The 22097-nt window shown below is 41.2% G+C and overlaps 1 protein-coding gene across 1 annotated transcript in view, besides 1 other annotated feature; it reads right to left on the bottom strand.

Annotated features, from left to right (window-relative positions):
- Positions 1-22097, bottom strand: part of HPSE2 (heparanase 2 (inactive)) — an 858875-nt gene that overhangs the window by 797424 nt on the left and 39354 nt on the right. The window lies entirely within an intron of this gene.
- Positions 11330-11876: an enhancer, noted in NCBI's record as "NANOG-H3K27ac-H3K4me1 hESC enhancer chr10:101025587-101026133 (GRCh37/hg19 assembly coordinates)". NCBI's record gives its function as "activates a minimal SCP1, AML or CMV promoter by ChIP-STARR-seq in naive H9 embryonic stem cells {active_cell/tissue: H9 hESC(naive)}" and the evidence as "EXISTENCE:reporter gene assay evidence [ECO:0000049][PMID:30033119]".

Genomic DNA, 22097 nt, shown 5'->3' on the forward strand with positions numbered 1-22097 from the left:
AACCAAGTAATAAATTTATACATGTACCTCCCAAATCTAAAAGTTGAAAAAAAATTTTAAAAAGAATAAATGTTATTCACCATTATTAATGTGATTAGGTGTAATTTAATCTTGACTGAAAATAGCTAATTGTTTAACTAAAAGTTTAGTTTTTCCTATAGCATATCTAATATAAGTTGAAAGTGTCTTTCTTAAAATGTATGAGATCCTTACAATGGAATACTATCTGACAATTATAAGAAATGGAGTACTAATATAAACTACAGTGTGGATGAGCTTTGAAAACATTATGCTAAGTGAAAGATGTCAGTCACAAAAGACCACATAATACAAAATTTGTTTATATGAAATATCCAGAGCAGGCAAACATATAGAAACAAAAAATAAATAAGTGGTTGTCAGGAATTGGGAAGAAGTTAATGAGGAATGACTGATAACAGGTAAAGAGTTTCTTCTGAAGGTGATGAAAATGTTTAAAAATCCAATTATGGAGATGACCATAAAAATCCATGAATATACTACAAAACACTGAATTTTATATATTAAATCAGTAAATTTTGTGCTATATATATTTTATCTCAATAAGGCTCTTAAAAATATATAAGGAAAATTTTCTTTCAGCCTAGTTGAACACATTGAAAACTAATGATCCCAAAGGACAGACATTAGAAAAGTTACAGCAATATTTAGACGTCTATCAAATCACTAAAAGGGTTTAATGTGTTTCTTATATTTGTTTATTTTAAATTTGTGTATGAAAACGTGATTACTGGTGAATTCTAACAAACATTTAAGGGAGAAATAGTATTAGTTTTATACAAACTCTTCGAGGAAGTAGGAGAGGAGATACCTGTCCCCAATTTATTCTATGATGCCAGCATGGCTTTGATACCAAAACCAGAAAAAGATATTAGAAAAAAATAAAACTACTGACAAATAAGGATACTACATCACAACAAAGTTGGGCTTATCCAGGAATATAAGGTTGTTTTAACATTCAAAAGCATAAATATAACTCAACATACTAACAAATTAGTACACACACATGCACGCATGCACACATACACACACACACACACACACACACACACACACGACTACAATAGATGCAGTAAAGTCATTTGATAAAATCCAAAATCCATTCCTCATAAAAACTCTCAACAAAATGAGAATTAAAGGAAACTTTGTTCATTTAATAAAGAGCAACTATGAAAAATATATAGGTAGCATCATATTTAATGGCAAAAGACTGAATGATTTCACCCTGCTATGGTTTGAACATGCCTCCACCTTCACAAAAGCATATGTTGGAAACTTAATCCCCAGTTGCATTAGTCCATTTTCACACCAGTATAAAGAACTGCCTGAGACTGGGTAAGTTATAAAGAAAACAGGTTTCACTGACTCACAGTTCCACAGGCTGTGAAGGAGTCATGGCTGGGGAGGCCTCAGGAAACTTACAATCATGGCAGAAGGCGAAGCAGAGGCCAGCACATCTTCTCATGACTGGCAGGAAAGAGAGACAGTGAAGGGGGAAGTGCTACACACTTTTAAACAACCAGATCTCATGATAACTCAGCATCGTGAGAACAGCAAGGGGGAGATCTGCCCCCATGATCCAATCACCTCCCAACAGGCCCTTCCTCCACCACTGAAGATCATAACTCAACATGAGATTTGTGTGGGGACACAGAGCCAAACCATATTACCAATACAATAGTGTTGGGATGTGCAGCCTAATGGGAGGTATTTAGGTCATGCAGGCTCCACCCTCATGAATGGATTAATGCCATTTATAAAAAGGCTTGAGCCTGCAAGTTTGATCTCTTGCTCTTTCTTGCCCTCTCTTTGCCCTTCTGCCATGAGATGTGTAGGGGCAACCCACCCCTACAAGATGACTCACCAAACAGGTCCTTATGATATGCCAGCCCTTCAATCTTAGACTTCCCAGCGTCTCGAACCTTGAGCCAACACACTTCTGTTCATTATAAATTACCCAGTCTGATATTCCGTTAGCACAAAATGGACTATGACACTAAGACCTGCAATAACACAAGAATGTCCACTGTTACCACTTTTATTCAATATTCTACTAGAAGTTCTGGACAGTGCAATCAGCAAGAAAAATAAATAAAAAGCATTTATATTTGACAGGAAAAGGTAAAACTATCTTTATTCTCAAACAACATGAATGTCTTTATAGAAAATCTGATGGACACTACTAAGAAGCTACTAGAACTAATACATGAATTTATCAAGATTGTAGGTTATGGCTGGGCTTGGTGGCTCACGCCTGTAATCCCAGCACTTTGGGAGGCTGAGGCGAGCAGATCACGAGGTCAAGAGATCAAGACCATCCTGGCCAACATGGTGATACCCTGTCTGTTGTGGGAAGTCAGGGACCCCAAATCAAGGGATTGGCTGAAGCCATGGCAGAATAACGTGGATTGTGAAGATTTCATGGACATTTATTAGTTCCCCAAATCAATATTTTTATAATTTCTTACGCCTGTCTTTACTGCAATCTCTGAACATAAATTGTGAAGATTTCATGGACATTTATCACTTCCCCAATCAATACCCTTGTGATTTCCTACGCCTGTCTTTAATCTCTTAATCCTGTCATCTTCATAAGCTAAGGAGGATGTATGTCGCCTCAGGACACTGTGATGATTGCGTTAACTGCACAAATTGTTTGTAGAGCATGTGTGTTTGAACAATATGAAATCTGGGCACCTTGAAAAAAGAACAGGATAACAGCAATGTTCAGGGAACAAGAGAGATAACCTTAAACTCTGACCGCTGGTGAGCCGGGCAGAACAGAGCCATATTTCTCTTCTTTCAAAAGCAAATGGGAGAAATATCACTGAATTCTTTTTCTCAGCAAGGAACATCCCTGAGAAAGAGAATGCATCCCTGAGGGTAGGCCTCTAAAATGGCCGCTTCGGGGGGCAGCTGTCTTTTATGGTCGAAGCTGTAGGGATGAAATAAGCCCCAGTCTCCGGTAGCACTCCCAGGCTTATTAGGACGAGGAAATCCCCGCCTAATAAATTTTGGTCAGACCGGTTGTCTGCTCTCAAACCCTGTCTCCTGATAAGATGTTATCAATGACAATGCGTGCCCGAAACTTCATTAGCAATTTTAATTTAGCCCTGGTCCTGTGGTCCTGTGATCTTGCCCTGCCTCCATTTGCCTTGTGATATTCTATTACCTTGTGAAGTATGTGATCTCTGTGACCCACACCCTATTCATACACTCCCTCCCCTTTTGAAATCACTAATAAAAACTTGCTGGTTTTGCGGCTTGTGGGGCATCACGGAACCTGCCGACATGTGATGTTGCCCCTGGATACCCAGCTTTAAAATTTCTCTATTTTGTACTCTGTCCTTTTATTTCTCAGACCAGCCGACACTTAGGGAAAATAGAAAAGAACCTACGTGACTATCGGGGACAGGTTCTCCCGATACCTGTCTCTACTAAAAATACAAAAATTAGCTGGGCGTGGTGGCGTGTGACTGTAGTCCCAGCTACTTGGGAGGCTGAGGCAGGAGAATCACTTGAACCCAGAAGGCGGAGGTTGCAGTGAGCTGAGATCATGCCACTGCACTCCAGCCTGGTGACTGGAGCCAGACTGCATCTCAAAAAAAAAAAGATTGTGGGTTATAAGATCAATATACAAAAGTTAATTGTATTTTTATGTATTAGCGACAAATAATAAAGAATTGAAATTTCATAAACAATGTCATTTATAATAGAACTCAGGAATTTTAAAACACCTGGGAAATACTTAGAGATAAATACTTAGAATTAAAGCCAACAAAAGATGTGCAAGACCTGAAAACTATAAAACATTGAGAGATAAATGAAAGAAAATCTAACTAAATGGAGTAATATATATATATATATATACTTTGACCCTATGTTGAAATACTCAATCTTGTTAAGAGGTCAATTCTCCCAAAATAGTTCTGTAGATTCAACACAATCTCAATTAAAATCCCAGTTTGTTCTTAAGGGAAAATGACAAGTTGGTTCTAAAATGCAGATGAAAATACAAAGGACCTAGAACAGGCAAAACCAGTCTGAAAAAGGACAAATTTGGGGCCAACGTTGCCTGATTTCAAATCTTATTATAAAGCTACAGTAATCAAGGCAATGTATTATTGGCATCAAGACAAATAGATCAGTAGAGCAGAATAGAGTCCAAGAATGGACCCACATACATGGACAATTGATTTTTGACAAAGATGCAAAGGTAGTTCAATAAAGAAAGGGTTGCCTTTTTAACAAATGCTGCTGAAACAAGTGGCTATCCATATGTAAAACAAACAAAACTTAGCACCATACATACAAATAATTAACTCAGAATGGGTCACAGACCTAACTATAAACCTAAAACTATAGAGCTTTTTGAAGAAAACATAGAAGTTCTTTATGACTTTTGGTTAAGGAATATTCTCTTAGATGCAACACAATAAGCAAAACACATGAAAGAAAAAATGTAATAAAAGACTTTGTGAAAAATAAAACATTTGCTCTTCAAAAGACACTGTTAGGCACTTTGGGAGGCTGATGTGGGTGGATCACCTGAGGTCAGGAGTTCAAGACCAGCCCGACCAACATGGCAAAACCCCATCTCTACTAAAAATGCAAAAATTAACCAGGCATGATGGCACATGCCTGTAATCCCAGCTACTTGGGAGGCTGAGGCGGGAGAATTGCTTGAACCTGGGAGGTGGAGGTTGCAGTGAGCCAAGATTGCTCCATTGCACTCCAGCCTGGGCAACAAGAGCAAAACCCCCCCCACCAAAAAAAAAAAAAAAGACACTGTTAGGAGGCTGAAAAGACAAGCTACTGACTGGGAAAAAAATATTTGCAAAGCACATATACCATAAAAGACTTGTATACAGGATACATAAAGAACATTCCAAAAGTAATAAGAAACAAGCAACCTAATAATAAAGTGGGCAAAATATTTAAACAGATACTTTGCCAAAGAAGATACATGAATCACAAAAAATTGCACGAAAAGATGCTCAACATCATTAGTCATTAAGAGAGTTGCAAATTAAAGCCACAATGAAATGTGGGAAGAAAGGAATATGCAATACCAAGATGTCATGAATAAAACAATATTCCAACATCAAAGACAACAGAAATGGACTAGGTAAACACTCTAAGGCAGGGGTCCCCAACTCCCAGGCCACAGACTGGTATCAGTATGGGTCTGTGGCCTGTTAGGAAGGGGGACCACACAGCAGGAGGTGAGCAACAGGTGAGCAAGCATTACCACCTGAGCTCTGCCTCTGTCAGATCAGAGGTGGCATTAGATTCTCATAGGACCCTAAACCCTATTGTGAACTGTGCATGTGCAGGATCTAGGCTGTGTACTCCTTATGAGAATCTAATGCCTCATGATCTGAGGTGGTACAGTTTCAACCCGAAATCATCCCCACCCTCAACCCTTCCCCCGTAGAAAAACTGTCTTCCACTAACCTGGTTCCTGGTGCCAAAAAGGTAGGGGACTGCTGCTCTAGGAATTGCTTATTCACCATCAGTAGCAGAAACCCAGAATTTCAAGATTTTTGTTACTGATGGTAAGTAAACAATTCTAAAATATGGAATAGATCAATCAGAAATATTGTTAAAGTTAAAGCCCACAGATGTGCCTATGCATCTTTGTGAGAATAATGATAGATGAAACAGCAATCTCAAATATAGCAACAGCCATGAGCTCCTACAAAAAAAAAAAAACCCTGTTGCTGAAATATACAGCCTTGTTGCCCACACAAAGCCTGTTGGTGGTCTCTTCACACAGATGCGCGTGACATTTGGTGCCAAAACCCGGGATAGGAGGACTCTTTCGGGAGACTGGTCCCCTGTCCTCGCCCTCGATTCATGAGGAGATCCACCTACAACATCAGGTCCTCAGACCACCAGCCCAAGGAACATCTCACCAATTTCAAATCAGGTAAGCAGTCTTTTCACTCTTCTCCAGCCTTTCTCACTACCCTTCAATCTTCCTCTCTCACTACCCTTCAATCTCCCTGCCCTTCCAATTCCAGTTGTTTTTCCTCTCTAGTAGAGACAAGAGGACACATTTTATCCGTGGACCCAAAACTCTGGCGCAGTCCCGGACTCGGGAAGACAGTCTTCCCTTGGTGTTTAATCACTGTGGGGATGCCTGCCTTGGTCATTCACCCACATTCCCTTGGTGGCAAGTCAACTTTGGGGACACCTGGTTTGGCTGCTCACCCACATTGCAGCCCAGGGCTGCTCACCATCCCCTTCTCCGTGTCTCTGCCTTTCTCTTTAAACTTACCTCCTTCACTATGGGCAACCTTGCGACCTCCATTCCTCCTTCTTCTCCCTTAGCCTATGTTCTCAAGAACTTAAAACCTCTTCAACTCACACCTGACCTAAAACTGAAACGTCTTATTTTCTTCTGCAATACCACTTGGCTCCAGTACAAACTCGACAGTGGTTCCAAATAGCCAGAAAATGGCACTTTTAATTTCTCCATTTTACAAGAGCTGGATGATTTTTGTCAAAAAATGGTCAAATGGGTCTGAGGTGCGCCTGCTGTCCAGGCATTCTTTTACACATTGGTCCCTCCCTAGTCTCTGCTCCCAATGCAATTCATCCCACATCTTTCTTCTTTCTCTCTTGTCTGTTCCTTCAGTCTCCACCCAAAGCTCTGAGTTCTGTGAATCCTCCTTTTCTACAGACCCATCTGACCTCTCCCCTCCTCCCCAGGCTGCTCCTTGCCAGGCCGAGCCAGGTCCCAATTGTTCCTCAGCCTCTGCTCCGCCACCCTATAATCCTTCTATCACCTCCCCTCCTCACACCCGGTCCGGCTTACAGTTTCGTTCCTCGAATAGCCCTCCCCAACCTACCCAACAATTGCCTCTTAAAGAGGTGGCTGGAACTAAAGGCATAGTCAAGGTTAATGCTCCTTTTTTCTTTATCTAACCTCTCCCAAATCAGTTAGCGTTTAGGCTCTTTTTCACCAAATATAAAAACCCAGCCCAGTTCATGGCCCATTTGGCAACAACCCTTAGACACTTTACTGTCCTAGACCCAGAAGGGCCAGAAGGCCGTCTTATTCTCAATATGCATTTTATTACCCAATCCGCTCCTGACATTAGAGAAAGCTCCAAAAATTAGATTCCGGCCCTCAAACCCCACAACAGGACTTAATTAACCTCACCTTCAAGATGTACAATAATAGAGAAGAGTTGCAATTACTTGCCTCCACTGTGAGAAAAACCCCAGCCACATCTCCAGCACAAAAGAACTTCAAAACGCCTGAACCACAGCAGTCAGGCATTCCTTCAGGACCTCCTCCCCCAGGATCTTGCTTCAAGTGCCAAAAATCTGGCCACTGTGCCAAAAATGCACAAAGCCCGGGATTTCTCCTCAGCTGTGTCCCATCTTTGCAGGACCCCACTGGAAATCGGACTGTCCAACTCGCCTGGCAGCCACTCCCAGAGCCCCTGGAACTCTGGCCCGAGGCTCTCTGACTGACTCCTTCCCAGATCTTCTCGGCTTAGTGGCTGAAGACTCACACTGCCCGATCGCCTCGGAAGCCTACAGGACCATCACAGATGCTTTGGATAACTCTTATAGTGGAGGGTAAGCCTGTCCCCTTCTAAATCAATATGGAGGCTACCCACTCCACATTACCTTCTTTTCAAGGGCGTGTTTCCCTTGCCTCCATAACTGTTGTGGGTATTGATGGCCAGGTTTCTAAACCTCTTAAAACTCCCCAACTCTGGTGCCAACTTGGACAATATTCTTTTATGCACTCCTTTTTAGTTATCCCTACCTGCCCAGCTCCCTTGTTACGTTGAGACATTTTAACTAAATTATCTGCTTTCCTGACTATTCCTGGACTACAGCCACACCTCACTGCTGCCCTTTTCCCCAGTTCAAAGCCTCCTTTGCATCCTCCCCTTGTTTCTCCCTACCTTAATCCACAAGTATGAGACACCTTCACTCCCTCCTTGGCAACTGATCATGCACCCCTTACTATCCCATTAAAACCTCATCACCCTTACCCTGCTTAATGCCAATATCCCATCCCACAGCATGCTTTAAAAGGATTAAAGCCTGTTATCACTCGCCTGTTACAGCATGGCCTTTTAAAGCCTATAAACTCTCCTTACAATTGCCCCATTTTACCTGTTCAAAAACCAGACAAGTCTTATAGGTTGGTTCAGGATCTGTGCCTTATCAACCAAGTTGTCTTGCCTATCCACCCCATGGTGCCAAATCCATATACTCTCCTATCCTCAATACCTCCCTCCACAACCCATTATGCTGTTCTAGATAAACCTAGCTGACCCCATAAATCCTAAATCCTTTCCCCACTCCCCTTGCCATTCCTTAAAAAACAGCCCTAAAAGCTGCTCCCACACTAGCTCTCCTTGAGTCATCCCAACCTTCTTTGTTACACACAGCCGAAGTGTGGGGCTGTGTGGTCGGAATTCTTACACAAGAGCCAGGACCGTGCCCTGTAGCCTTTCTGTCCAAACAACTTGACCTTACTGTTTTAAGCTGGCTCCCACATTATTCCGGATACCACACCTGACCCCCATGACTGTATCTCTCTGACCCACCTGACATTCACTCCATTTCCCCATATTTCCTTCTTTCCTATTCCTCACCCTGATCACACTTGGTTTATTGATGGCAGTTCCACCAGGCCTAATCGCCACTCACCAGCAAAGGTAGGCTATGCTATAGTATCTTCCACATCTATCATTGAGGCTACTGCTCTGCCCCTCTCCACTACCTCTCAGCAAGCCAAACTCATTGCCTTAACTCAAGCCCTCACTCTTGCAAAAGGACTACATGTCAATATTTATGCTGACTCTAAATATGCCTTCCATATCCTGCACCACCATGCTGTTATATGGGCTGAAAGAGGTTTCCTCGCTACGCAAGGGTCCTCCATCATTAATGCCTCTTTAATAAAAACTCTTCTCAAGACTGCTTTACTTCCGAAGGAAGCTGGAGTCATTCACTGCAAGGGCCATCAAAAGGCATCAGATTCCATCACTCAGGGGAACACTTACGCTGGTAAGGTAGCCAAAGAGGCAGCTAGTGTTCCAACTTCTGTCCCTCATGGCCAGTTTTTCTCCTTCTCATTGGTCACTCCTATTTACTCTCCCACTGAAGTTTCCACCTATCAATCCCTCTACACTCAACGCAGATGGTTCTTAGACCAAAAAAAAAAAATCTCCTTCCAGCCTCACAGGCTCATTCTATTCTGTCGTCGTTTCATAACCTCTTGCATGTAGGTTACAAGCTGTTAGCCCACCTCTTAAAACCTCTCATTTCCTTTCCATCGTGAAAATCCATCCCCAGTCCACCACTCTTGACTCCCTCTTGGAGTGGAGAGATGATCTTTGCTGACAGGACACACTCCAGTACTTTCACCCTGATGAAGTCCTATTCTTTACTTTTATACTCACTCTTATTCTCGTTCCCATTCTTATGCCACCCTCTACCTCTCCCCAGCTATCTCAACCACGCTATCAATCTCACTCACTCTCTCCTGGCAGTTTCTTTTCTTTTCTTTTTCTTTTTCTTTTTTTTTTGAGATGGAGTCTCACTCTGTCGCCCAGGCTGGAGTGTGGTGGCGCTATCTCGGTTCACTGCAAGCTCTGCCTCCCGGATTCACACCATTCTCCTGCCTCAGACTCCCAAGTAGCTGTGACTACAGGTGCCCACCACCATGCCCGGCTAATTTTTTGTATTTTTAGTAGAGACAGCATTTCACTGTGTTAGCCTGGATGGTTTTGATCTCCTGACCTTGTGATCCGCCCGCCTCAGCCTCCCAAAGTGCTGGGATTACAGGCGTGAGGCACTGCACCCAGCCTCTCCTAGCAGTTTCTAATCCATCTTTAACGAACAATTGCTGGCTTTGCATTTCTCTTTCCTCCAAAATCACCAAGGCCCTGACTTACTCACTGCTAAAAAAAAGGGGGACTCTATATTTTTAAATGAATAGTGTTGTTTTTACCTAAATGAATCTGGCCTGGCATATGACAACATAAAAAAACTCAAGGGTGGAGCCCAAAAACTCGCTAACCAAGCAAATAATTACATTGAACCCCCTTGGGCACTGTCTAATTAGATGTCCTGGTTACTCCCAATTCTTAGTCCTTTAATACCTATTTTTCTCCTTCTTTTATTTGGACCTTGTGTCTTCCGTTTAGTTTCTCAATTCATACAAAACTGCCTCCAGGTCATCACCACTAATTCTATATGACAAATGCTCCTTCTAACAACCCCACAGTATCACCCCTCACCCCAAAATCTTTCCTCAGTTTAATCTCTCCCACTGTAGGTTCCCACACCACCCCTAATCCCACTAGAAGCAACCCTGAGAAACATCGCCCGTTATCTCTCCATACCACCCCCCAAAATTTTCACCTCCCCAACACTTCACCATTTTGTTTTTTCTTATTAATATAAGAAGACAGGAATGTCAGGCCTCTGAGCTCAAGCTAAGCCATCATATCCCCTGTGACCTGCACATATACATCCAAATGGCCTGAAGCAACTGAAGATCCATAAAAGAAGTGAAAATAGCCTTAACTGATGACATTCCACCATTGTGATTTGTTCCTGCCGCACCCTAACTGACACGATATATTCTCCCTCGCCCTTAAGAAGGTACTTTGTAATATTCTCCCCTGCCCTTAAGAAGGTCCTTTGTACGCCTAACCCAAACCTATAAGAACTAATGATAATCCCACCACCCTTTGCTGACTCTCTTTTCGGACTCAGTCCACCTGCACCCAGGTGAAATATACAGCCTTGTTGCTCACACAAAGCCTGTTGGTGGTCTCTTCACGTGGACATGCATGACAATGAGAATGCACGTACACATGGAGGGAAATGACACACATTGGGGCCTGTCGGGTGGCTTGGGGCGGGGAGAGCAAAAGGAAGAATAGCTAGTGGACACTGGGCTTAATACCTAGGTGACGGGATGATCAGTGCAGCAAACCACCATGGCACACGTTTACCTATGTAGCAAACCTGCACATCTTGCACATGTACCCCTGAACTTAAAAGTTGAAGAAAGGAGTGAAAGCGAAAAATGGTGGATATGAGGCAGGACTAAATTGCAGCTCCCACTCAGAAAGACAGAGCAGTGTGTAGAAACTCACATAATGAACCTCTGCTCCAAGAACTACCACAGGAACATACCAGGAAAGCTGAGAGAGTCCACAGACCCTTTGAAGGAAGTGGATTGCTCCTGCAGGCCCTGGGAGACAGACAAAAAACTGTGAGTGCCCAAAGTGTGAAAGGGGGATTGTCCACGCCCAAACACACACCCTCACAGGGGAACCTGAAGGTCTAGATCACAGGAGAAGGATTTGACCTTACCTGGAGCAGAGACAAATTTAAAGAGCCAAGTGAAATACAGGGGTAGAAGAAGCAGCAAGAAGAGCCTGTGGGCTCTCTCAGTCCCCAGAGAAGCCATTTCTGACTTTGTCTCACAGAGGTTCTTGGGGAGGGCTACCAGAGGAACTGGGAAAAGACCACAGGGAGAAGGAAACTTGCAGTTGAACTTTGTAACAATTTCAACCTAACACGAAGTTTCCCGGACAGAACTTGGGGGAGGGAGTGAATCGCCAGCGCAGACACAGCACAGAAGCCACAGCAGGTCGGGAGATGCAAAATCTGAATGCCCTGCTTTGCTTTCTCAGCCAGGAGGCTGGTTGCCTGAGGCAAGTTCTCAGCCCTGCTTACCTGCTGCCTGGAAATAAACTGGGTGCTGTTGTGGCGGCATGGTGGGAATGAGACCAACGTTTTGGGCTGTATGGGAGCTGAATAAGGCCTATAATGCTGGCTTTCTCACACTTCTCTGGTGACCTGCATGGCACGGCAGAGGCAGCCATAATCCCCCTGAGAATATAACTCCATTGGCCTGAGAACAACACACCCATCCCCCACAGCAGCCACCACAAGCCCTACCCAAGGAGAGTCTCAGCTCAGACACGCCTAACCCTGCCCCCACGTGATGGTCTTTCTCTACTCACCCTTGTAGCTGAAGACAAAGGACATAATCTCTTGGGAGCTCTAGGGACCCACCCACTGCCTAATCCTCCCTATACTACCACAGCTGATGCTCTCTTGAAAGCACCATCTCCTGGCAGGAAGCCAATCAACACAAAACGAGTACAATAAACAAAACTACAACTAAAAACCCTGACAGAGTCCATTTTACTTCCCTGCCACCTCTAACAAAGCAGGTGCTACTACCCATGGCTGAGAGACCTGAAGATTGTTCACATCACACGACTCTGTGCAGACACTCCCCAGTACCAGCCTGAAGCCCGGCAGCTCTGCTGGGAGACTAGATCCAGAAGACAAATAACAATCACTACAGTTCAGCTCTCAGGAAGCCACATCCCTAGGGGAAGGGGGAGAATACTACATCAAGGTAGCACCCCATGGGACAAAAGAATCTGAACAGCGGCCCTTGAGCCCCAGATCTTCCCTCTGACATGGTCTACTCAAATGAAAAGGAACCAGAATAACAATTCTGGTAATATAACAAAACAAGGTTCTTTAACACCCCCCAAAAGATCACACTAGCTCACCTCACCAGCAATGGATCCAAACCAAGACGAAATCCCTGAATTACCAGAAGAATTCAGAAGGTCGATTATTAAGCTAATCAAGGAGACACCAGAGAAAGGTAACAAACAAATGATACAAGATACAAGGGGAAAAATCCTCAGTGAAATAGCATAAATAAAAAACAATCACAACTTCTGGAAATGAAGGACACACTTACAGAAATACAAATATACTGGAAAGTCTCAGCAATAGAATCAAACAAGCAGAAGAAAGAACTTCAGAGCTCAAAGATAAGGTTTTCAAATTAACCCAATCCAACAAACACAAAGAAAAAAAATTTTTTTTAAATGAACAAAGCCTCCAAGCAGTTTGTGATTATGTTAAACGACCAAACCTGCCGGGCATGGTGGCTCACGCCTGTAATCCCAACACTTTTGGAGGCTGAGTCAGGTGAATCACAAGGTCAGGAGTTCAAGACCAGCCTGGCCAATATGGTGAAACCCCATCTCTACTAAAAATACAAAAATTAGCCAGCGTGGTGGTGGGGCCTGTAGTCCCAGCTACTCGGGAGGCTGAGGCAAGAGAACAGCTTGAACCTGGGAGGCGGAGGTTGCAGTGAGCCAAAATCATGCCACTGCATTCCAGCCTGGGCAACAGAGCGAGACTCCATCAAAAAAAAAAAACAAAAAACAAACAAAAAAAAACACTAAATGTAAGAATAATTGGTGTTCCTGAGGAAGAAGAGAAATCTAAAAGTTTGGAAAATGTATTTGAGGGAATAATGGAGGAAAACTTCCCTGGCCTTGCTAGAGACCTAAACACCCAAATACAAGAAGCTCAAAAAACACCTGGGAAATGTATTGCAAAAAGATCATCGCCTAGGCACATAGTCATTAGGTTATCTAAAGTCAAGATGAAGGAAAGAATCTTAAGAGCTCTGAGGCAAGAGTACCAGGTAACCTATAAAGGAAAATCTATCAGAGTAACAGAGATTTCTCAGCAGAAACCCTAAAAGCTAGAAGGGATTGGGGCCCTATCTTTAGCCTCCTTAAATGAAACAATTATCAGCCAAGAAGTTTGTATCCAGCAAAGAAGCCTTCATAAAAATGAAAGATACAGCCTGTTTCAACAAACAAATGATGAGAGAATTTGCCACTACCAACCCAACACTACAAGAACTGCCAAAAGGAGCACTAAATCTTGAAACAAATCCTCCAAATAAACCAAAACAGAACCTCCTTAAAGCATAAATCTCGGCCAGGTGCAGTGGCTCACGCCTGTAATCCCAGCACTTTGGGAGGCTGAGCTGGGTGGATCATGAGGTCAGGAGTTCGAGAACAGCCTGGCCAACATGGTGAAACCCCGTCTCAACTAAAAAAATATACAAAAATTAGCCGGGTGTGGTGGTGTGCACCTATAATCCCAGCTACCTGGGAGGCTGAGGCAGAAGAATCACTTGAACCTGGGAGACAGAGGTTGCAGTGAGCCGAGATCGGGCCTCTGCACTCCAGCATTGGCAACAGAGAAAGACTCTGTCTCAAAAAAAAAAAAAAAAGGCATAAATCTCTCAGGACCTACAAAACAGAAACACAATAAATAAATTGATTAATTAATTAAATAAATAATAAATAAATAACAAGGTATTCAGGCAACAAATAGCATGATGAAGAGAATAGTACCTCACATCTCAATACTAACATTGAAGGTAAATGGCCTAAATGCTCCACTTAAAAGATAAAGAATGGCAGAATGGATAAGAATTCACGGGCCAGGCATGGTGGCTCACGCCTGTAATCCCAGTACTTTTGGGAGGCCGAGGCGGGTGGATCACCTGAGGTCAGGAGTTCGAGACCAGCCTGGCCAACATGATGAAACCCCATCTCAACTAAAAAAAATACAAAAATTAGCTGGGCATGGTGGCAGGTACCTGCAATCCCAGTTACTTGAGGGTCCAAGGCAGGAGAATCACTTGAACCTGGGAGGCAGAGGTTGCAGTGAGCCAAGATCATGCCACTGCACTCCGGCCTGGGGGACAAGAGCGAGACTTCGTCAAAAAAAAAAAAAGAATTCACCAATCGAGTATCTGCTGTCTTCAAGAGACTCACCTAACAACACATAGACCCATATAAAATTAAGGTAAAGGAGTGAAAAAAGATATTCCATACAAATGGACACTGAAAGTAAGCAGAAGTGACTATTCTCATATCAGACAAAACAAACTTTAAAGCAACAGCAGTTAAAAAAGACAAAGAGGGACATTATATAATGATAAAAATAACTTGTCCAACACAAAAATATCAGTCCTAAATATATATATGTAACTAACACTGGAGCTCCCAAATTTATACAGCAATTAATACTAGACCTAAGAAATGAAATAGATAGCAACACAATAATAGCAGGGGACTTCAATACTCCACTAACAGCACTAGACAGGTCATCAAGACAGAAAGTCAACAAAGAAACAATGGATTTAAACTATACCCTCGAGCAAATGAACTTAATGTTACGCTAGAACTTAATGAACTTAATGTTTCAGAACATTCTACCCAACAACTGCAGAATACACATTCTTTTCATCATCACATGGAACATAATCCAAGATACACCATATCATAGGCCACAAAACAAGCCTCAATAAATTTAAGAAAACTAAAATTATATCAAGTACTCTCTCAGACCACAGCAGAATAAAATTGGAAATCAACTCCGAAAGGAACCCTCAAAACCATGCAAATATGTGGAAATTAAATAACCTGCTCCTAAACGATCATTGGGTCAACAATGAAATCAACATGGAAATTTAAAAATTCTTTGAACTGAACAATAATAGTGACATAACCTAGCAAAACCTCTGGGATACTGCACAGGCAGTGCTAAGAGGAAAGGTCATAGCAGCCTTAAATGCCTACGTGAAAAAGTCTGAAAGAGCACAAATAGACAATCTTAAGGTCACATCTCAAGGAAGTAAAGAAACAAGAATAAACCAAACCCAAACCCAGCAGAAGAAAAGAAATAACAAGATCAGAGAACTAAATTAAGTTGAAACAAAAAAGTACAAAAGATAAATGAAACAGAAAGCTGGTTCTTTGAAAATATAAATAAAATTGATAGAACATTAGCAAGGTTAACCAAGACAAGAAGAGAGAAAATCCAAATAAGCTCGATTAGAAATGAAATGGGAGATACCACAGAACCAATACCACAGAAATACAAAAAATTATTCAAATACAAAAAGATCATACTATGAACACCTTTACGTGCATAAACTAGAAAACCTAGAGGAGATGGATAAATTCCTGGAAATATGCAATCCTCCTAGGTTAAACTAGGAAGAAATAGATACTCTGAGCAGACCAATAACAAGCAGTGAGATTGAAATGGTAATTTAATAATTGTCAACAAAAAAAAGTCCAGGACCAGACAGATGCACAGCTGAAGTCTATCAGACATTCAAAGAAGAATTTGTACCAATCCTACTGACACTATTCCACAAGATAAAGAGAGAATCCTCCCTAAATTATTCTATGAAGCCAGTATCACCCTAATACCAAAACAGGAAAGGATATAACAAAAAAAGAAAAACTACAGACCAATATCCCTGATGAACACAGATGCAAAAATCCTTATCAAAACACTAGCTAACTGAATCCAACAGTGTATCAAAAAGATAATCCACCATGACCAAGGGGGTTTCATTCCAGGAATTCAGGGATGGTTTAATACATGCAAGACAATAAATGTGATACACCACATAAATAGAATTAAAAACAAAAATCACATTATCATCTCAATAGATGCAGAAAAAGCATTTGAGAAAATCCAGCATCTCTTTATGATTAAAACCCTCAACAAAATTGGCATAGAAGGGACATACCTTAATATAATAAAAGTCATCTATGACAGGCCCACAACCAACATAATACCGAATGGGGAAAAGCAGAAAGTACTCCCCCTGAGAACTGGAACAAGACAAGGATGCCCACTCTCACCACTTCTATTCAACATAATACTGGAAGCCCTAGCCAGAGCAATCAGACAAGAGGAAGAAATAAAGGACATCCAAATCAGTAAACAGGACATCAGACTGTCAATGTTTGCTGATGACATGACTGTATACATAGAAAACCCAAAAGACTCATCCAAAAAGCTCCTAGAGCTAGTAAAGGAATTCAGCAAAGTTTCAGGATACGAAATTAATATACAGAAATCAGTAGCTCTGCTATACACCAGCAGCAACCAAGCTGAGAATCAAATCAAGAACTCAACCCCTTTTACAATAGCTGTGAAACAAAACAAAACAAAACAAAATTTGGGAATATACCTAACCAAGGAAATGAAAGACCTCTACAAGGAAAACTACTAAACACTGCTGAAAGAGATCACAGATGACACAAACAAATGGAAACACATCCCATGCTCATGGATGGGTAGAATCAATATTGTGAAAATCATCATACCGCCAAAAGCAATCTACAAATTCAATGCAATTCCTATCAAAGTACCACCATCATTCTTCACAGAACTAGAGAAAACAAACCTATAATTCATATGGAGCCAAAAAAGAGACCACATAGCCAAAGCAAGGCTAAGCAAAAAGAACAAATCTGGAGATATTACATTACCCAACTTCAAACTATACAATAAGGCCATAGCCACCAAAACTGCATGGTTCTGGTATAAAAACAGGGACACAGACCAATGGAACAGAATAGAGAACCCAGAAATAAAGCCAAAAAGCCACCTGACCTTCAACAAAGCAAACAAAAACATAAGGTGGGGAAAGGACACCCTATTCAACAAATGGTGCTGGGATAACTGGCAAGCCACATGTAGAAGAATGAAACTGGATCCTCTTCTCTCACATTATACAAAGATCAACACACCTGGGTGCAGTGGCTCACGCCTGTAATCCCAACACTTTGAGAGGCCGAGGTAGGTGGATCACGAAGTCAGGAGTTCGAGACCGGCCAGGCCAACATGGTGAAACCCCGTCTCTACTAAAAACACAAAAATTAGCCAGGCATGGTGGCAGACGCCTGTAATCCCAGCTACTCAGGAGGCTAAGGCAGAGAATTGCTTGAACCCGGGAGGTAGAGGTTGCAGTGAGCCCAGATTGCACCACTGCACTCCAGCCTGGGCAACAGAGTGAGACTCCATCTCAAAAAAAAAAAAAAATCAACTCAAGATGGACAAAGACAACCTGAATCCATAAAAATTCTAGAAGGAAACATTGGAAAAACCCTTCTAGACATTGGCTTTGGCAAAGACTTCACAACCAAGAACCCAAAAGCAAATACAACAAAAACAAAGATAAATACATGGGAATTAATTAACTGAAAAGCTTCTGCACAGCAAAACAATCAGCAGAGTAAACAGACAGCCCACAGAGTGGGAGAAAATCTTCACAATCTATACATCTGACAAAGGACTGATATCCGGAATCTATAAGGAACTTAAACAAATTGCAAGAAAAAAAAAATCCCATCAAAAAGTAGACTAAGGACATGAATAGACAATTCTTAAAAGAAGATAGACAAATGTTCAACAAACATATGAAAAATTGCTCAACATCACTAATTATCAGGGAAATGCAAATCAAAACCACAATGCGATACCACCTTACTCCTGCAAGTGTGGGCATAATAAAAAAAAATAAAAAAATAATAGATGTTGGCATGGATGTGGTGAAAAGGGAACACTTTTACACTGCTGGTGGGAAAGTAAACTAGTACAACCACTATGGAAAACTGTGGAGATTCCTTAAAGAACTAAAAGAAGAACTGCCATGTGATCCAGCAATCCCCCTACTGGGTATCCAGGGGAAAAGAAGTCATTACTTGAAAAAGATACTTGTACATGCATGTTTATAGCAGCACAATTCAAAATTGCAAAAATATGGAACCAGCCCAAATGCCCATCAATCAGCAAGTGGATAAAGAAATTGTGGTATATATCTACCATGGAATACTACTCAGCCATAAAAAGGAACAAAATAAAGACATTTGCAGCAAGCTGGATGAAATTGGAGAGGATTATTCTAAGTGAAGTAACTCAGGAATAGAAAACTAAACTTTGTATGTTCTCAGTCATAAGTGGGAGCTAAGTTGTGAGGATGCAAAGGCATAAGAATGATACAATGGACTTTGGGGAATCAGGGAAAAGAGTGAGGGGCATGAGGGATAAAAGACTACACAATGGCTACAGTGTACACTGTTCAGGTGATGGTTGCATCAAAATCTCAAAAATCACCACTAAAGAACTTATTCACATAACCAAACACTACCTGTTCCCCAAAAACCTATTGAAATAAATAAATAAATAAAATTTTTTTAGTTGAAGAAAAAAAATCATGGTCTGAGAATTTTCCTTCTGCCTCTGCCTTTGGCCTAAATGCAATAATTTACAAATGATAGACAAGGAAAATGTTATCTGAGAAAATTGGGTTCTAAATCTAGGCACTGAAATTTGGGAGAATCAGGTCCAAGACATAAACCAACCCCTAAAGATATGAGACTAGTTTCCAAGAGAAACAGAGGACATAAGTCTTCTCTCCTGGAATTGCTTGATGCATATATTTAGGCAGAACACATATAAAATGGGCAGAAGGACAGACAGATGGATGATGGATGGAAAGATGGATAGACAAACAGATGCAGGGAGGGACAAATAAATGATCCAGTAACTGACAGAACTCTCTTTTAAAAGTGAGTACTACAGGTGGGAGGGATTGCCCTTTAACCATGACAGAGACAAAAAGAAGCCATGATCCTTTGGCCAGTGAGAATGTGTGCACTATCTCTGCTGCCAGGGACATAATTTCTAAGATCCAGTCTGAAACAAGCCTTTACAGAAGAGAAAGGCAAACCCAACATTAATCAATCTGGAGTCATATAACTTCCCTGGTAACATTTGTATAAGTAAAGAATAGCTACATGCCTATTAACAGTGTAAAGCAGGCAGGTGCGGTGGCTCACGCCTGTAATCCCAGCACTTTGGGAGGCCAAGGCAGGCAGATCGCTTGAGGCCAGGAGTTTGAGACCAACCTGGCCAACATGGCAAAACCCTGTCTCTACTAAAAATACAAAAAATTAGCCAGGCGTGGTGGCCTGCGCCTGTAATCCCAGCTACTCGGGAGGCTGAGGCAGGAGAATCGTTTGAACCTGGGAGACGGAGGTTGCAGTGAGCAAAGGATCCTACCACTGTGCTCCAGCCTGGGACTCTGTCTCAAAATAAAAAGAAACAGTGTAAGGCAAGAAGTCCACAAACCTGCACGTCCTGCACATGTATCTTGGAACTTAAAATAAAATAAAGTAAAATTTAAAAAAAACCCTTCAAACAGAAAAGAAATAATTATTTTTAAGACTCAGTTTTCATAAAAATTAACAAAAATTAAAAAGCATTAATAGAGGAGTAAGGTTTTCCTTCAAATTATTTTTATACTTAAATATGTCAAGCCTGTAGTCTGTGTCCAAATATTTAAAGTGTTAACCATTTAAAAATAAATTTGACTGTCATATACGTTAAAAAAAAATTCAACCACAAAAAAGAGAGAGAACATTTCCAGGAGCAGCTGGAAGCTTTCAGAACTTCCCATTCTGTCTGAGATTAGTTATTAGGAGGCTAAATGCAGCTAATGAAATTCTCTAACAAGGATGGTACTGCAGCTGTCTGAAAAATAACTTCTTTTTAAATTTCCAGAGTAAACTGGAGGAAGTTTTCATATAGCATAAAGTCAAACCATACAACATTCATCTGGGAAATATACTTCGCCAAAGCAGACTTAGCTGTCTCACTTACATAGGTGTAACGTTTTAAACTAGAATAAAATTCTTCAAGGGCACCCTTTTCCAGTCCAGTTCTCATGAAAATTTTATTATTTAATATCAGAACTGCAAGGTACCTAAGAAATAATTTAATCTAGCCCTTCATTTTACAGATGTAGAAATTTGGGCTCCTGCAGGGCCAGAGAACAAGTTACTGTAGCAAGTGAGTGACTCAAATTTAGAAAACAGTTCCCCCCAAATCCAGTATTAGTTCCTTCCAAAAATATCTGGGAAGAGAAAAAAGGTAATGGCTGTTAGAGAACTGAAGTACTTTTGCATTCAGCTTCTAATTTTTTCGATTAAGATAAAGACAAACTGAGGTGAAATCTTTAAAGTTTATTTTACCGTTTACAGTTAACCCTTTTTATTATTCCTCTTTAGTACATCTCTGTTTTCTTTGCAGGTGCTCATGCAGATGGCATGAAGCAGGAAGTCCTTCTTGACTCGTACGTCTTAGTACCCCAAGGGTACAGTGACCACATAATGTATTATTTAACTTGGGACATTTATGAGCACTGAAGGGAATATTACTAATAAGTAAACAATGACCAACACATAAAGTGGACTTTCTTAGACAAACTGGAACATGTTATGGTCACCCTTCTTAAGTATTACCTGCTTTGGTTGTCTGGGCTAAAAACCATCCCAGCAACAGCTCCTCTCCCTTCTTTCCTTTTGAATTTAATCCTGACCCATTTTACGGCATTCTTCTAATCCTAAACTCCATCCCAAGGATATGTGAAGCCCATGCTCTTTGAATCCTCCCTCTTTCCAACAGTAACATCCGTCTTGGGTCTTCTCCATACCCTTGCCCCCAACAAAATGATTGTAGTGTTTCCCCTAAGGCAGGCAACATCATCTCTGGTACCAGCTCAGAGCAGGCTCCTTCAGGCCAGAACATCTAGGGCATGGGACTGTAAGAGAACCCTTCTATTGGGAATGAAGGGAAGAGATTATTACATGAAGGGGTGGGTGTGGGTGTGTGTATGTGATGTGCAATCCTGGTAATGTTAATGACTTATTAAAAGCACATCGTATCATGGACATAGATAAGAAAAAAACAGCCAAATAGAAATAACTGAAAATTTGGTTTTATTAGTAATATTTAATAATGGTAGTATATATACCCAAAACATTAGGATCTTATTCCTTTTATCACACATAGTGCTTCGCCTGTAGTAAATGCCCAATAATTATGTTGAAAAATGAATAAAACTAATTTTTGAATTATTACATATAAATACAATATTCGTTGGAACAACAATCATAACAACTCCATTTAGTAACAACTACAGTGAGCCAGACACTATATACTCGGTGCTTCATATACATTTTCTCTACTAATGCCTATTTACACTACAACCCAATAATTATTCTTTGTATCACTAAATGTCTTTATTTCATTAGCAAAGAAAACTCTATAGAAAAGTAATAAAATTGCATAGTTGGGTGTTTGTGTGGCATGGTTGTCTAGCCATCACTTTTTAAAGAATTTTGCTTCCAGCCCAGGGTTTTTCACTACACATTAATCTCTTTCATATATATGTCTCAAATAACCTATTAGCCCCTTATTTTCTCTAGTGCTCTCATCTGAACATTCATAACCTCATACGAATTATATTTATAATGTTCTTTTATGCATTCCAGAATTCTTTTTACATCTTT

This window comes from Homo sapiens, chromosome 10, assembly GCF_000001405.40.
Source record: "Homo sapiens chromosome 10, GRCh38.p14 Primary Assembly".
In the NCBI taxonomy this organism is placed as follows: domain Eukaryota; kingdom Metazoa; phylum Chordata; class Mammalia; order Primates; family Hominidae; genus Homo; species Homo sapiens.